The sequence below is a fragment of the Homo sapiens genome, chromosome 12 (genome assembly GCF_000001405.40).
Source record: "Homo sapiens chromosome 12, GRCh38.p14 Primary Assembly".
Taxonomy (NCBI): Eukaryota; Metazoa; Chordata; class Mammalia; order Primates; family Hominidae; genus Homo; species Homo sapiens.
This window is the reverse complement of record NC_000012.12, coordinates 97,207,952-97,225,771: the sequence shown is the minus strand read 5'-3', so window position 1 is coordinate 97,225,771 and position 17,820 is coordinate 97,207,952. Positions and strand designations below refer to the sequence as shown.

Sequence of the window (17,820 nt, the reverse complement as noted above, 5' to 3'; positions counted from 1 at the left end):
ATCCTACTAGTTTCTATTACACCAGAGTGATGTGATGAATTTCTATACTTTGTCTATTGTTGGGATGGAAAATAATAATAGAATTTCAGAGATGGAAAGGACCTTAGAGATCATCTAATCCAACAAGATGAATAAACTTTTCTTTTCCATTGCCAATAAACTGGTGAAGTGTGAGAAATACAACTCTTTTGAGTTATAGGTGGTCTGATGAATTGAGACGGCCATGGTTCAACCTAAGACACTGGAGTTTCTCCACATCACAAAAAATAAACTTTTTTCGTAAACAAAGTCAATTTAAGTTAGGTGGCTTTTATCAGTTCTATGAATACCCCATCAATATCAGAACAAAAAAAAATGCACTCTGAAAGAGAAATAGAGGAACTTTTATTTGGTTTCCCTTTGAGACTTTAACAGAAAATGTTGCAATTCCCTACTTACTCTTTTTAAAAAGAAATTATTTTTGAAGATGACTGGCATATTTTCAAGGAGCTACTGTGAAACGCATTTAAACAAGAATTCCTCAGTGGTTGGTGATCTTTGTCTAATAATAATGAGACACTAGTCAGATTTTTTAAAAAATGTCTACCTTCATCGCCAACTTTGAGGCCACGTCAAAAGAGATTATGGTTTCAGATGTCCTTGCCCCCAGCATCCACTACTAATCCCCAGAGCTCCTGGTTCTCCTTAGAGTGGGAAGTTATCCTGGTCACCACTAAGGATTGTTTTAAAAATTAAAAACATCTAGCTCATTAGGAAAGCACTTCTATAAAAGCTGAATGGAGTTTATCAGATGTTCTCGAACCTAGCTGCACATCACAGCTACCAGAAGGGGATTTGAAAAATACGAAGTGCCAAATCCTACCTCCAACCACTGATTAAGTAGGTCATATATTGTGCCTGGGAACCTGAATTTATTATTTTTTTGCCTTTCAGTGATTCACAACATGCAAATGCAGATTATCACGTCTTTTAATAAGAAAAAAGTTATTTGCATTCTTATCTACTAGATGCAAAGCTTATGATAATATAATTTATAAAAAGAAAATGCCTTTTGCTTTATTTTATTAAAAAATAATTAAGAGGGCTTCAAGCTCATTTGTCTCCTAAGAAACAGCATCTTCAGGAAAGATGAGGCAAAAACAAACACTTTGTCATCCCCAAAGCGCTCTGTGATGCTATTGCTGTAACTTGGTAGTTAACTACATTCTGCACAACTAAGAGAATAAAAGGATTCATCTACATTATATGTTGGTCCTGTTGGTAATCATTTTCACTTTTTTTTCCTTGTTTTAAGTCTATAGGTTAGAAGGTAGCCATTAGCTTTCTATAGCAGGCATGGTGGTTTGCTTTCTATCCTTATAGGGAAGACTATTGCTTATTTTATTTTTGGTGCATTACACTATTTTTCCAGCCACAGGTGCAATTACAAATCACCCTATAAATGGCTTTCATAACTAGAACTCCAAGGGGGATTCAACAAGGTTTTCCATATGTAATTACCCAATTGGAAGTTAGCCAGATTCCCAGGACTGCAACCCTTACACTTGTGAACAGGAAGATTTGGTTGTTAATAATCACACCACTCAGCATCCTCATATTTAGAAATCTTTAGAAAGTGACTTAATGCTCCATAAAAAAATCGTGGCAGATCACAAGAGGAGTAGTATCTCCATAGAGCAACCCACTAGGGGTAGGTCCCACCAGCTGGCAAGATAGCCTACTGGTATTCAAAGTCATCTGTTTTTGCATTCAAGGTATTTAATAATTGAATGCTGGAACAAATGTGTATTTCTTTTAATTTTCTCTAAGTTCATTTTTTTTTCTGAGAAGTTCCACACCTTTCACATGGCTTTATTTTTACCTGTTATGTGTATCATTCTTCTTCCTTTTCAATGACAATATTGTTAAAAATACAGCTATCTCTGAGTGTGGGAACGGTCCAGGATGTCAAAATGTACTCTAAAGATTTTTCACATTGAATGTATTTGATTAGTTGTAAGGAGCATCTATTGACACTGCTTGCTGTCATTTGCCACTCCAATGTTTTTTTTTAATTCACAGAATGATTCTCTCTTCTTTTTACACTGTTCGTGCTATTGAAACTAGGCTTCAGTGAAAGCTGGTAATATTTCCTCTGAGCACATTGTGGTTCAGTTGGCTTTCAGTTCTATTATTAAGGTATTGTGCTGTCATAACATTCATCCTTTTCTTCTAAATAAAAGTCAAGATCCAGATGGGTGCAGTGGCTCATGCCTGTAATCCCAGCACTTTAGTGAGGCCAAGGTGGGAGGAACACTTGAGACCAGGAGTTCAAGACCAACCTGGTCAACATAGCAAGACCTTGACTCTATATTTAAAAAAAAATATATATATATATATATATATATATATATATATATAGAGAGAGAGAGAGAGAGAGAGAGAGAGAGAGAGAGATAGACAGATAGAAAATTTTAAAATTGAAAGCAATTTCAAAAAAAAAAAAAAGATTCTTCAGCAAAACTCTTCTCAATTTTGCCCCCAGCAAGTCCTGAAATTTCCTCAACTGATCTGCCTTCTTTCTTTCTCTCTCTTTACTTAGAAGCTTTCCAGGTGAACTGAGCAGTTTAAGAATTGGAACCTACAGTCATATTCACAAAGTTCAAGTCCCAGTTTAGCCACTTACAAGCTGTGTGTCCTTTGACAATTTGCTTAGCCTCTCTGTGCCTCAATTATCTTATCTAAAACATGAGAATGCTCTAAGAGCTTAACTCGTTGGGTTGTAGAAAGAATTAAGTAGATTTACAATATTGTATACATCCTATCATTATCCTTCAAATACCTTTTATTCTGGTGAAGTCTTCTATTGCTCTGACCCACAGCTATTCCCCCAACCCATTCTATACCACTTAAAGAGTAACTATATATCTGACACTTCACATGCATGCTGTCATGCATATTATATCATAAGATCTCCCTTAAGATTGAGGAACTACTTTCTTAGACTTCTGCACTGAACACAGTGATTGACACATGGTATGTATGCAAAACTTTTTGGCTGGTGATGCTGAGACTATAAAGTGCTAAAAAAGAGATTACTTTTTAAAAATGGGAGGTTGTCAAAAAAAAGTAATTCTTACATACAATTGCAAATAAATCCCTTCATGAAGAAAAGCAGCACCTAAAGAGGGTAATTCTTTGAGAAGCTTGAGTTTTAAAGTGGAAATATTCAAAAGATGGTAAGAAGGACTCTTAAGCAGATGAAAGAGGCTTGGCCACATAAGAACTGTGTTAGTAAGGCAAAGCCACAGGGGAACTGAGGCTTGAGAGAAAAAAAAAAATGATGGGCAATAACGGAAGAGGCTCTTACAGTTTTGTTCAGAACTTGAAGTTGACAAGAATAAGCAGGTTTGTGCCTTGAACTGGTGGTCTAATTCAATGGATAATTGGGAGAAAGAAGAACATGGCTATTAAAAAGGAGGGGATTTCCAGACCAAATGGGAGATGGAGTACAGATCAGCAAGAAAGAACACTAGCCTAAGGGAGTTCATCAGCTCTGAGATTAAAGGCAAAGAATGGGTGCAGCATAGCCTAGTGGTAAAAGAATTTGAGCCTTGGGTTTGAAAGAGCCGTGTGACCTTGGGCAAGTCACGTAAACCCTCACTGCCACAGCTTCTAGACCTGCAAAATGAAGGTAAAATGCTTTCATCATGAGAGAAATTGTGAGGATTTAAAAAACTAGTAAGTGGAGTTGCGGAACAAACTATAGTAGTGGTTGTTGTCATTAAAAGGACTAATATTTATAATAGTGTTATAATAAGGGCATCTGAGTTCTCTGAAGGGGTTCAGATCTGATGTCTTCCATGAATTTTACCCCACCGAACCAAGAGAAATTTCCAAAGGGATTGCTCAAGTTCTACGGACAGAATCTAAAGAATCATAGAAACCTAAACACACATCCTGAAACAGAAGGCCAGCAAATGCACTTCTAATTATCATGCAAGAATAGGAGAAAAGTGGAGTTCATGAACACAGCCGCTAACTGGATGGTTCCTAGAAAAGGAACGGTGATGGCCAAGACCAAAAAGTCATGACTGGCTGACTTCATTTCCAGCCCCCTTCTCCAATGCACACACATTTTTAAAATTCTAAATTGGCCGGGCACGGTGGCTCACACCTGTAATCCCAGCACTTTTGGGAGGCCAAGGCAGGCGAATCATGGGGTCAGGAGTTCAAGACCAGCCTGGCCAACATGGTGAAACCCCATCTCTACTAAAAATACAAAAAAATTAGCTGGGCATGGTGGCAGAGTCCTGTAATCCCAGCTACGCAGGAGGCTGAGGCAGGAGAATCACTTGAACCCAGGAGGCAGAGGTTGCAGTGAACCAAGGTTGCACCACTGCACTCCAGCCCGGGCGACAGTGTGAGACTCTGTCTCAAAGAAAAAAAAGAAATTCTAAATCAAGTTTCTAGACCAGAATATAAGCGACAATGAGCTCCCTTAGGGTAGAGACAGCATCTTGTTGGTTCACTGCCAACTCCTCAGTGCCTGTCACTTAGTAGGCACTCAGTGATGCCTGATTGAATGACTAGATAAATAAGACAACAAATAAATACATGAAACAGAATAGGCCAGCTGGATCTATATTTCTATAAGACATTCAACAGAATATTATAATATCCCTGTAGATAATATAGTGATATAGAAAGATGGAAGTCACCTGAGGGAGATTCATAACTGGAGGAAGCCCTTGCACCCAAAGGGTCATGATTAACTGATTCATGCCAATTACACAAGCAGCTGGCTTCAGGCTCACTGATTTCTCCATGGCTCTGCTCTACTCAGTGTGTCAATATGTCTGGGATGAAGACATAGAACACAAATTCAGCAATTTTACTAATGACCTGGAGTTAGGAAGGCCAATGAATACACTGTAAATTAGAAATTGTATTTAAACATATTTCAATAGGTTAAAACAGTCGACCAGATTGGCGAGGACGAAGTGTTTTAGCATAATGGCTCATATCTGAATACTACATTAAATTATATGAAACGCTTCTGCAAACCTTATTTTGTGTAGTCCTCACAATAGCACTACAGTGGGTTGAATGGTGCCCCCCAAAAGATATGTTCACCCAGAACCTGTGAATGTGATTTTATTTAGAAAAAAAGGTCTTTGCAGATGTCATTAAGTTTTGGATCTCAAAATGAGATCATCCTGGATGAAGGGGGCCCTAAATCCAATGACAAGAGTTTCTATAAGGCCACGCATGGTAGCTCACACCTGTAATCCCAGCACTTTGGGAGGCTGAGGCAGGCGGATCACTTGAGGTCAGGAATTCGAGACCAGCCTAGCCAATATGGTGAAACCCCATCTCTACCAAAAATACAAAAATTAGCCAGGCATGGTGGCACACATCTGTAATCCCAGCTACTGTGGAGGCTGAGGCAGGAGAATTGCTTGAACCCAGGAGGTGGAGGTTGCAGTGAGCCAAGATCACACCACTGCACTCCAGCCTGGGTGACAGAGTGAGACTCTGTCTCAAAAAAAAAAGGAGTTTCTGTAAGACAAGTGAAGGAGATAAGACACAGAGGAGAAGGTAAAGTTCCTATGAGACAGAGACTGGAGTGATCTATTGACAAGCCAAGGAACATGAGGTGTTGGCAGAAGTCTGAGAAGCAAGGAAAGATGTGGACCATATTCTCCCTGGGAGCCTCCTGAAGGAGCCAACCTTGCCAACATCTTGACTTTGTACTCATTCTGAGAGAATACATTTCTGTTGTTGTAAGTTACCAAGTTTGTGACACTTTGTTACTTTACTAGGAGACTAATTTCTAGAAAACTAATACAAATACTTTTTTTTTTCTTCACAAACAAGGAACCAAAGTCAGAAATGTGGCAGTTTTCCAAAAATTCTTTTATTTGACAAGTCTTTGTTGTGTCCCTACCATGTGCCAGGCATTATTCTAGATGTTGGGATTCTGCAGTAAACAAATCAGACTTGGCCATAAGGAGCTTCTGTTCTAATAAAGGGAGACACAATAAGTAAAGAAACCAAATGAATAAGTGACACGGCAGGCGGTGGCAAGTGTTACGGAGGAAAAGGCAGTAGGCTAAAGAGAACTGAGCATGCTATTTTCCATAACTAGGTAAGGTAAGGGACTTCTGAGGAGGGAACATTTGGCCAGAAACCTGATAACACTGAGGAAATGGGGCAGACAGAAATCTAGTAGAAGAGGGTTTCATGTGGAGGCAGTTAGTGGCTAGGACCTAAAAAGGGAGGTTACTTAGTCTGAGGAGCACAAGATGTCCAGGGTGGCCAGAATGGAATGAACCACGGGGAAATAGTGGGAGACAAGGGGAGAATCATGGGAGGGGGAGGGGAGAAAGGGATTGTATGGAGCCCCGTAGGCATTGTTAAGTATTTTACCTTTTGCACTGAGTTAAACAAGAAGATGCTGGAAAATTTTAAGCAAAGGAAAAACATGTTCTAACATGATTTTAAAGGATCTCTCTGGCTGGCGTATTGAGAATGGGCCATAGTGGGGCACAAGCAGAAGTGAAGAGACTCAGGAGGGGGCCATGGCAACAGTCCATGCAAGAGTTGATGGTGCTTGAACCTTAGAAGTGATGATGGAGGTGGGGAGAAATGATCAACTTCTAGAGGGGTTGAAGGTGAAACTGGCAGGGATTTAAAGAGAGGAGTCAGGGCTGACTTCAAGGTTCTGCGCTGAACCACTGGAAGGATGGGGTTGCCACTTACTGAGATGCAAAGACAATGAATTAGTGGTACAGCAGGAATTTGAACTCAGGTTACATGCGCCCTTGCCTAGTAGTCAGTACCATTGTCCCCAGATCTCACAGGAGTAAATTGGTGCTATTCTAAAAGTAAAACCTTCACAAGGTGGAAGACTGGCTGGACCCTTCTATGATGCAGGGTAAGGAAAGACACCAGAGGTGGGAACAGCCGGCATTCCTATAATCAGGCTGGTCAAGGACATCTGAGTCCCCCAAGGGTCAAGGGGATGGTCCAGGAGACTGTCAAATGATCTCATGCAGACCCCGGGTGATCGTCCACTTTGGAAGCCAGTGCTCCACACCTGGTACCTTCAGTGGAACACAACCTCACCACCTGTATAGACCAGGGCCTCTGGAGACAAAGCCATTCTACCCAGTTCTGAGCAAAAGCCAGGAAATGCACCATCAATCACATCTAAGCCAGCCTAGATTGATCACCCACTCATTCATCCAATACGTGTTTCCTTCCTGCTCCCATGTGTCAAGCTCTTTACTCTGCAGATTCATTGGTAAAGAAAACAGACAAAGCACCTGCCCTTGAGAAACAATTAATAATAGAAAACACACTACAAACACATGATACATACATTTTAAAACCTTCACAAGTATGAGATGGGAAAAAGCGACTTAGGAAGATGATTTAGCATCTGCATGATTAAAACTCATTAAAGTTGAGGACAAGTCCAGGTTAATTTACCATAGGATGGCATTGCCAAAAACAGGAATGTAATCTCTTATCTCCTGACAAGAATGTCTTTACAATAGTTTAAACCACTGTTGGTGACCATCAGGCCTGAAGTAGCCCATCCAGTTCTCAGAGCTACATTTTTAGGCCAAAGAAAAACAGAAAAAAGAGAAAGAATTCAGAGGAGAGCAGCTAGAACAGGAGGGTATTTCAAGATGGGAAGGTTGAGCAAGACAGGTTTGGAGAAAGGTACAGGCTGTGAGGAAAATGTTCTGTGAAATGGAGGATAACGATGCCTATTTCACAGGGCAATTGACAGGATTAAAAGTGATAATGTACTAGCAAATTCTCTACAAATGCAAGGCATCGTTATTAAAATTGAAGGCCTGTCATGCAGAAGAGGTTTTGGATGCATTCTGTGTGGCCCCAAGAGGTAGAGGCAGAACTAAGAGCTACAGCATTTCTGTTCAAAGTGGAGAAGGACTGTCCACAGATGGAAGAGGCGGGCTGTTTGGTGAACTGACTTCGTCAAATCTGGGTATGTTCAAAGGCTGACAAGCTGAAGACATGATTGCAATGTTAAAAGGGAATTCTCCCATTTAATGGTCTGTAAATTTTAGTTTTTTGTTTTGTTTTTAAACAACTCTGAGGCTATAGTAGTAGTCTAAACTTTTTCTTATTGCTTCTGTATTAAGTCCTTGGCCGCATTCGCCCCACAAAAAGATAATGTAATTCAATTCCCCCAATTAATCAGTAAAGCCACAAGTGACCTTCCCACAGAGGTCCAGTTATAATTATGCCACTTAAAGTAGTCTCCTGGTAGAACTTATTATAGAAGAGGTTAGAGAAGTTTATTCTAATTCATCAAAGGTCAACAATCAAATAAAAGCCAATACAGTATAATAATAATTATCTATCTCACCAAACCATAGTAGTATGTTTAAATGAGTGAAACTTTTCTTTTGAAAAAAGTGGAAACAATATAAATTATTATTAGATAACAAATAAGCACCACAATGACGAAATGTTCTTGCTAGGGTAAAATAATTGAGATGATAATTAGGCATAATTAGCATTATTATGAGTCAATCATATTTCAATGAAAAGAAAACATATTTGGCTAAAAGGCTAGGATTTTGTTGTTGGTACTGTATAAATTCTTTCTGGTTCAGCTAGGTCACTCATTGTATTTGCCAATCAATTATGTTAGAGATGACTGGAGATTTCCATTTTAACAAAAGCCTATTTTTGCAAACAGCAGAGCTTTTAGAAGCTTCTCTCCTTGATGCGTCCAAGGTCTTTTCACTGGCTCTTGTCACTCTCTTTCTAATCCAACATATTTTATGACTATTTGCCAGTGTTACAGACAAGCCCACAACTTAAAATGGCAATAACAAGATGACAGTATTTAGAAAAAAATGATTACTTTCTCTGTTTTATTATAACACTTCCATATACATGGCAGGGGAGGGGGACAAAATTTTATCATAGAAAATAATCTTTTTTTTATTTTCCCACATTATTCATCATGTTTAAAGTTGCATTTATTTGTTAAATCAAATTCCTGTCTACACTGAATCCCCAGAAGGTTTTGTTATGTTTTTCCCACATCTTTTTAGAATTCTTAAGATCTTGGTAGAAAAAGAAAGGAATATCTTTGTAAGTAAGAAAAGGTAGATCAGTAATAAAAGATCTAGAAATACAATATTGGACAAGTTTAGGCAACGGCTTCCTGGAAGTAAAACAAGGAAATTGGAATACACAAACAAATACACAAATCTGTGACTTCAGTCTTAATAATCTGGAACGTTACAGTTTACCACAGCGAAATAGAGGCTGCATGGGGCGCATTTAAAATGTAGAATAGAACATGGTTTCCTACAAGGAGATGGGGATAGTTCGGCCAAAATATTCTGAAATGTGCTCAAGAGAAAAAAGAAGGCCCTAGAAGGGAAGTTGCTAGCAAGAGTCACAGTTATAACTATGATATGTGTAACTGTGATATAAATAACAGAATAACAATGATCTCAGGATTTCAGCAATCAAAAAGGAAAATTACATTTTTAGGTCTCTGATATCGTTATCCTAGGATGAGGAGCAGGGGTTCTCTAAAATAGTCATGAAAGGAAAAATAAAAATTTCACATAGATTTAAAAACCCTGGATTCCTCCTTGGTAATCAATACTTTCCACAGAAGCCTACAAAGATCAAAGATCCCCTTAGATATAAATTATAATAAAGACAGAATTTTCACAGTTTAAGTGATCTAAAGAAATACAATAATAGTTGGCATAAAAAATGATCTACAGGATGCTTAAAGTTAGGTAACAGCAGTTGCATAGCTCTTTCCTTCTCTCAATGAACTTATCAATAATTTATCAGGAAAATGTCAAAATGTCCTTGTCAGGAAGGTACACAGGATAATGATACTTGTTTTTAAAAACAGTTCATGCAAGAGGCTGTAAAATGATAGTCAGGTGCTCGAGGCACACTTCCAACTCTTTCATCTAACCACCTACTTAAATGTTGTGGAACATAAATCAAGGGAAGCAACAGCTAGAAATCAGTCCCTTTAAAATGCAGTCTTTGACAGCTAAATGCAGAGGAGGCCTGGTCTTATAATTGACATATTTCATCATTATTCAGTGGCAAAGGACTCTAAGAATATTTTGAAACACTTGTTTTGCCATCAAATTGCCCAGCTGATCACCATATTATCTCATTAGTTCAATAAATGTAATTTTTTTTTCTTTTTACCTCTGTCACCTGTTGTTTATCTAGATGTCATATTTTTACGTTAATGAAATGTGAGCATGTAACTATAATGGGAATGACTTTTAACATGCACACTGGAATATACGGCTAAAAGAGTGATATCTCCTTCAAGAAAATTGCAAAAATATTGTGACCAAAGGCAGCAAAGTCAGATTAAATAAGGAACCTGCCTTCTCTTGCATTCAATTGGAAGTATAATTTATGGTTCGGATGGTTGAAAACAATTTTTTTTTGCTTTGCTTTGTATTTTCAATAATCAGTGTTATGACTGTTGTTACTAATTTGGGTGAGAACAGTAGAGTTTCAGCTGCCATAAGCATATAGAGTAAAAAATATCTCCTTGAGATCAGAGGGTACTAATATATACCTTATAAAAATTATACTCTTACTTCCTTGATAATTTTCCACCCATCCATCCGTCCATCCATCCATCACCCATCTCTTTACTGCTAACTATTAGGCACCAGCCACCATATTAGGCTCTGGCGGTATGTCAATAAGTAAGAAATAAACTTTACCTTCAAGAAACTTATAATCTAATAGTGTTGTGTGGTTCAAGGTCTAATCCATCAACATTCATGCAAATATAGTATCAACGAAATGAAGCCAACTCTATTGTGTTATATTTGTGTTAATTACTGAACTTAAAGGAGACGAAAACATATGACCTGTTTACTATGAGCCATTTCTAGGTTCCCTCCCAGCTCTGTGAATGTTTGAGACTGCTAGTATAGCATGGTACGGAATGTGTATGGGCTACAACTTAGGTTCTTGTCCAAAACAATAATGGAGATGCTGTAAAAGCACAAATAATCAAAATTAAAGTCAAGGAATAAAACATTACAGAGGTTCAAAGGAGAGATCATACTTAATTGCTAGAAACCAGAATGTCTTCTTGGAGGAAGGAACATCCTGCTGTTGATACCACATGTTTTAGAAGAGTTAATCACAGTTAGAGATTTGATGCTTAATTTCTTTTCAAGAAATGATTCATTAATTAGATGAAATAATTCTCATTTCTAGACAGATGTCTATATTTCCTTACATAAAACAGAAAAGAAACTCCACACTTAAGCAACTTCTCATTCTAATCTGCATCCTGAAGCTTTGTTGACTGTCAGTGTCAATAGCAGACTAACACCACTGAGGTATTTAGGACTGTGATTTTAAGGAAGGAAAAGAACGCATTTACCCTCAAAAATAGCACAGAATGTATGAGTCAAGATTAAGCACATATCAGGGTAGCATGGCAAACAAGAACAAAAATGAACTGGAGATTAGAAAAATTACTTATTTTCATAGTGCAAAATGTATTTCTGGACCCAATGTGTATCAATAACCTTCACTGACTATGTACCTTGTACGCAACACTGTGCTACGCACTGGGGAAACAAAAATTAATAAAACCATATCTAAATAGCCTCTAGGAATTCACAGCCCAGGAAGATAATAATATTAATAAAAAATATCATAGGGTGGTATAGTAAAATGGCAGTTTTGACATATATTAGCATATAAGATCATGAAATCTGAAACCAGCCTGTGTCTGAATCCCAGAACTGAAATTTACCAGGTATCTGACTCTGTACCTCAGTTTCCCTGTCTGTATAATGAGGATGATAATAATGTGTAGTAAGGTTGTCGTGAGACTAAATGAAGTCGTTTATGTAGAGTACTTTAGAACAGTGCCTGGCCCATACTAAGCGCTACATATGCATTAGCCATTATCGTTATTACTCATAATCTCAAGAGAATATCCAAGCCTAAATCAAATGAGGAAAGTGAAAAGTTTCAGGCTTTCAATACCTGTACCTTTTCCCAGTGAAATAAGTAAAATATGTTCATACATAAAGGGGAACTGTTAGCTCCATACATACACACAAGCGTAATTTTTACAAAGAAATGGTTGGTTTTTTTAGAATTATCAACTCAATAGTATATGCAAGGAGGAGAAATATTTTAAATGTAGAGTCTGATTAATTCATGTCTAAACAGAGATCAGCTTTACAGAAACCAAAGCATAATTCAAAGTTAAATTTTGCTTCTTCACTTAAAAAAAAAACATAAACGTGAATATAGATTAGCTCACCAAAGCTAGGTTTCAAATGGCTGCCACATCTGGCATAACAACTTTCTATATAGTTTCACAACCCAGTGTTCTAACGATATTGAGCTATGTAGATAACAAGTGTTTGCGCTTGAATTTGATTACATTATCAGTTAGTGTGGCAGATTATATTATCCGTCCCATGTTTTCATCCCTCCCTCTTTTCCTGCTCTTTACCGTGTGACTTTTCACTTCCTCCCCAAAGAGGTTACGTATATTTCCTGACCTCCTGATGTTGGGTTTGGCCATGTGCTTTGCTTCGGTCAATAGAATGAAGGAGAAATGATGTTGTGCCAGGAACAAGCACAGGCCCCCAGAGGCCATGCATGTCCATGCTAACCCTCTTGTGCCTCTACCCTGTCATGAAAACAGTCATACCTATGTTCACCTGCTGGTCCTCAGGGAATGAGAGACATGTACGACTCATCTGCCCCAGATAAGCTCCCTTGACCCAGCTCAGACTCAAGCACAGCCCCAGTTTATCCTCAGCCAGCTGAACAAACCAGCTGACCCCCAGTGGGCTCATAAACAAGCCTGGACAAGATCAGCAGAGCAACTCGCAAAGCTGAGCCTAGATCAGCTGACCCCAACCAACCCAAAGGCAGTCACACTATGTGAATGAAGTATTTTATTTATTTTTTAATAAGCCATTGAGTTTGGGATTGCTTTATTATGCAATAAAAGCTAGCTCATAGAGTCACAATATTTTCAATTTTAAGTTAACATAAAACCCAACCCTAACTGTCATAACCATTTTTAAAATGTATGGTTCCACCAAAGTGAAAAGGCCAGCAATAGTTTCAGCTTTAGCTACAGCTGTACCCAGAGGTTCAATGTTCAACATGAATATCTCTACAAATTTCTCAGCATGCCTCTGGCCTTTGGACTCTTTCATGTGTCAGCTTTGTCCTGGGACAAAGCCACCCTCTTGGTGCCAAAATGGCTGCAGAAGTTCTGGTCCTGCTATCTGCATACTTCACTTTGCATATTTCATCTTGAAAAAGAGGGAGGGCCTTTATCCCAGCACTCCAAGCAAGAGTCCTGAGATTCATTCCTTCTTAGAGCCTGGTGTGCTTATGAACTAATCAATGTAGCCAGGGGAAGAAATGCTTTGACTGACACATCCTATGTCATGGGTTCCCAACATGAAGAGAGAAAAGTTGAAACAAATTTACCAAGTTCCATGAATTTTTTCCAGGGTCAAGAGCTGTTGAGAAGGGGAAAGAGGGAAATAATTGTGAGACAAGCAGCTAGCAGTACACACGACAACACACTTCTTTCTTTGTAGTGCATTGTCACATTTTTTTCACATTGTGTTTCAGATATCCCAAGCCTCAGATTATTACCCCTGCCAAATACTCTTTTAGTAATGTCAATAAATGCTACTTGTTTGAATTAACTGTATACATTCAGAGGTATAAAGATTTTTTTTTAGATAAAAGAAGTGTAAAGAGACAAAAAATAAAGAAGTTATAATGCCACCATTTATCCCCCAATAACTAGAAACAGCTTCTATTTGAAATCTCAGTACCACCTGCTTTGCATCTGCTGGACTGGCTGAGAATGCAGGTCTGGCAAAAAGAAAAAATCCATTTTAAGTAGATCTGTGACAATACAGGGCAAGAAGGTCTTGAAATCCACCAAGGGTTTTAATCAATAAGACTGACAGCACAGAGCATGCCAGAAGCCAGGAAAAGGAGAGTTTGCCAAAAAAAAAAAAAAAAAGCATTCAAAAATCAAGCCCACACTATAAGGTTCGGGTGACCAACCAGGGCCAGTGAGACAGAGGTGCATACCACCATCTTTCTGTTCTGATCTAAGAAGGGTGAGAGAGGAAAGAGTTGATTAGCTCAGGGAAGGTTTTGTTCTGTCCTTTTAGATTCCAACTTTCCCAATCAGGGGAGAATTCTAAAACCCATTGTCTAATTTCAAAAGTTGGGTTTGAAAAACATGACAAGCTCTTTCTTTTTGTTACCTAATTCTCAGCTGTAAACCCAAGCTACTTGAGTGTGCATGCTTCATAAAAAGGCAAGAGGATTTAATTGAGTTTTGCATGCCGCTTCTAAGTGGATTGCTGGGGTATACCAGGATTAATTAGTTTCGTGTTGTTAATTCAATTCAAAGGTTGCTGATAAACTAAGACCATCAAACTCCATTAGGAGAAACAAAAACTTCTTAATTATGACAGCATATTTGGGGTTGTGGATAAGTTTTATCAGCATGTTAAAGTTCCATCCTGGTTTCCCAGGATTTGTGATAGAGCCACTCTAGTGGATCGGAGAGACCTCAATCATCTAAGCACTTTTTGCCAAATTTTCAAATTTGGTATCTTTACCAAAAAAAAAAGAAAGAAAGAAAGAAAGAAAAAGAATCCTTGGTTTCAATGGCTCTTTCTGCCCTTTAGAACGTGAAATTCTCTTTTCAAACAAATAACCCTAGGAGAATAACTCCAGTCTTTCTGCACATATGCAGAAAACCTGTACAGGGTTAAAGGTTTGGTTTTTGCTCTATCTCCCCAATTCCTTATGGTACTGTCACGATCATACTATCATGACCCCTTATATGTGGAAAAAAATCATCAGCAAAATATTTTATTTTGTGTAGAGAATGTTGAAAATATGATTGGCTACATGGTATTGCAAATAACTGCTTCTCTTCCCCTGACTCCTAGCAAAACCTCGCCTTTCAATAAAAAACACAGTGAGCACACAAGCATGTCGGTGCACACACTCACCGGCTTAGCTTTTGGCTTGGATGTGCCTGTATACTGCGGTTGAGGATCTAGCTAACTTTCTCTTCAGCTTGCCATATTGGATCCCTTTCGCATCTTTTTCTAGTGCAAGAGATTTCTCTGCATCTGAAATACTCCCCCCCAACCCCACACCCTGCCCCAGTATGTGCACTTGGGCAAAGATACACACACAGAGAGACATACACACACACACTTCTAATAATTCGGCCCTACTCTTCAGTTCTCAGTGCACCCTTCATCTCTCCTGGGACCTCTTTCTTGATTCTGAAGACTAGATTGGATGGCATTCCTATGAGCCATCTCTGCATCTATGTTTAGCACTAATGTAGCAATTGAAACATTGTAATAGCCTGTAAATGATCACTAACTCTCCATAGAAATTAACTTTCTAAACGACAGGAGTGTATCTCATTCATGAGTATATCTCATTCATGGTTGTATCACTGAACAGTGCAGAGCTTGGCACACAGAAGGAATTCCACCAGCATTTTTTGAATACATGAATAAAGGCCAGCATGATTGCAAAATTAACTGTGGAACCTCTCCCTTTTTTATATTGTTCCATCCTAGGTCATTCTATTAACAATCTTTACTTGCCCCTACCCACCAGCCTGGCACCTCTGTGGACTGATCAACCCACAGCACCTCCTCTGGCAGAGAGTTTTGTCTGGCCCCAATGTTCAGTCTTCCCTTTTTTCTCATAAAAGAACAAGAATTTTAGCTGAGAATTCTGATACAGGGTGGGCTTGAAGAAACATTTCTCATACTCCAGCTAAACTGGCCATTTGAATAAATTATAAACATTAAAATATAAAAGTAAATGCTACATGCAACTTCTAGGAAGTTTTCTTAAAAGGAAAAACATATGCCCTTTCTGAATCCTCCCTCCCTCTTGCTACTAAAGATGTGGAAGTGATGGCTGGTTCTCCAGCAGTCATCTTGGACCAAGGAGACATATGCTAAGGACAGAAGAAGTCTGTACTGCTAACAGTTTTCTGGAACCACTACACTACCTACACCACACCATGACTTACTTGCAGGTTTCTTTTACATGAAAGAGAAGAAAATAGGTCTCAGTAAAGAGACTGTTATTTCAGTCACTTTAAAAAAAAATTATTTCGGTAGGTTATTGGGGAACAGGTGGTGTTTGGTTACATGAATACATTCTTTAGTGGTGATTTGTGAGATTTTGCTGTACCCATCACCAGAGCAGTATAGACGGCATTCTGTTTGTAGTCTTTTATTCCTCAACCCCTTCTCACCCTTTTTCCCTGAGTCCCCAAAGTCCACTGTGTCATTCTTATGCCTTTGCATCCTCATAGCTTAGCACCCACTTACGAGTAAGAACATGTAATGTTTGGTTTTCCATTCCTGAGTTACTTCACTTAGAATAATAGTCTCCAATCTCATCCAGGTTGCTGTGAATGCTATTCATTCATTCCTTTTTATGGCTGAGTAGTATTCCATTGTGTGTGTGTGTGTGTGTGTGTGTGTGTGTGTATGTGTTTGTGTACATATATATATATATATACACACATATCACAGTTTCTTTATCCAGTCATTGATTGATGGGCATTTGTGTTGGTTCCACATTTTTACAATTGCCAATTGTGCTGCTATAAACATGTGTATGAAAGTATCTTTTTCGTATAATGACTTCTTTTCTTCTGGATAGATATCCAGTAGTGAGATTGCTGGATCAAATGGTACTTCTACTTCTAGTTCTTTAAGGAATCTCCACACTGTTTTCCATAGTGGTTGTACTAGTTTACATTCCCACCAGCAGTGTAGAAATGTTCCCTGTTCACCGCATCCATGCCAACATCTACTATTTTTGATTTTTGATTATAGACATTCTTGCAGGAGTAAGGTGGTATCACATGGTGGTTTTGATTTGCATTTCTCTGATCATTAATGATGTTGAGTATTTTTTCATATGTTTGTTGGCTATTTGTATATCTTCTTTTGAGAATTGTCTATTCATGTCCTTAGCCCACTTTTTGATGGGATTGTTTTTTTTTCTTGTTGGTCTGTTTGAGTTCATTGTAGATTCTGGATATTAGTTCTTTGTCAGATATATAGAGTGTGAAAATTTTTCCCCACTCTCTGAGTTGTCTGTTTACTCTGCTGACTCTTCCTTTTGCTGTGCAAGGCTCTTTAGTTAAGTCCCAGCTATTTAATTTTGTTATTATTGCATTTGCTTTTGGGTTCTTGGTCATGAAATCCTTGCCTAAGACAATGTCTACCAGGGTTTTTCCAATGTTATCTTCTAGAATTTTTATAGGTTCAGGTCTTAGATTTAAGTCCCTGATCCATCTTGAGATGATTTTTGTATAAGGTGAGAGATGAAGATCCAGTTTCATTCTCCTACATGTGGCTTGCCAATTATCCCAGCTCCATTTGTTGAGTAGGGTGTCCTTTCCCCATTTTATTTCTTGTTTGATTTTTCAAAGATCAGTTGGCTGTAAGTATTTGAGTTTATTTCTGGGTTCCCTATTCCATTCCATTGGTCTATGTGCCTCTTTTTATACCAGTACCATGCTGTTTTGGTGACTGTGGCCTTATAGTATAGTTTGAAATCAGGCAATGTGATGCCTCCAGATTTGTTCTTTTTGCTTAGCCTTATTTTGCTATGTGGGCTTTTTTCTTTTCATATGAATTTTAGAATTGTTTTTTCTATTTCTGTGAAGAATTATGGTGGCATTTTGGCAGGAATTGCGTT

The 17,820-nt window shown here is 38.4% G+C and overlaps 2 long non-coding RNA genes across 2 annotated transcripts in view; one reads left to right on the top strand and one right to left on the bottom strand.

The window, feature by feature from the left end:
* Positions 1–17,820, top strand: part of LOC105369927 (uncharacterized) — a 35,878-nt gene that overhangs the window by 4,139 nt on the left and 13,919 nt on the right. The gene's annotated exons all lie outside the window — the stretch shown is intronic.
* LOC105369928 (uncharacterized) overlaps positions 7,675–17,820 on the bottom strand; it is a 33,018-nt gene continuing 22,872 nt past the window's right edge. Inside the window, exon 3 of the long non-coding RNA XR_945250.4 lies at positions 7,675–13,553. This is a non-coding gene — a long non-coding RNA (uncharacterized LOC105369928). The remainder of the gene's footprint in view (positions 13,554–17,820) is intronic.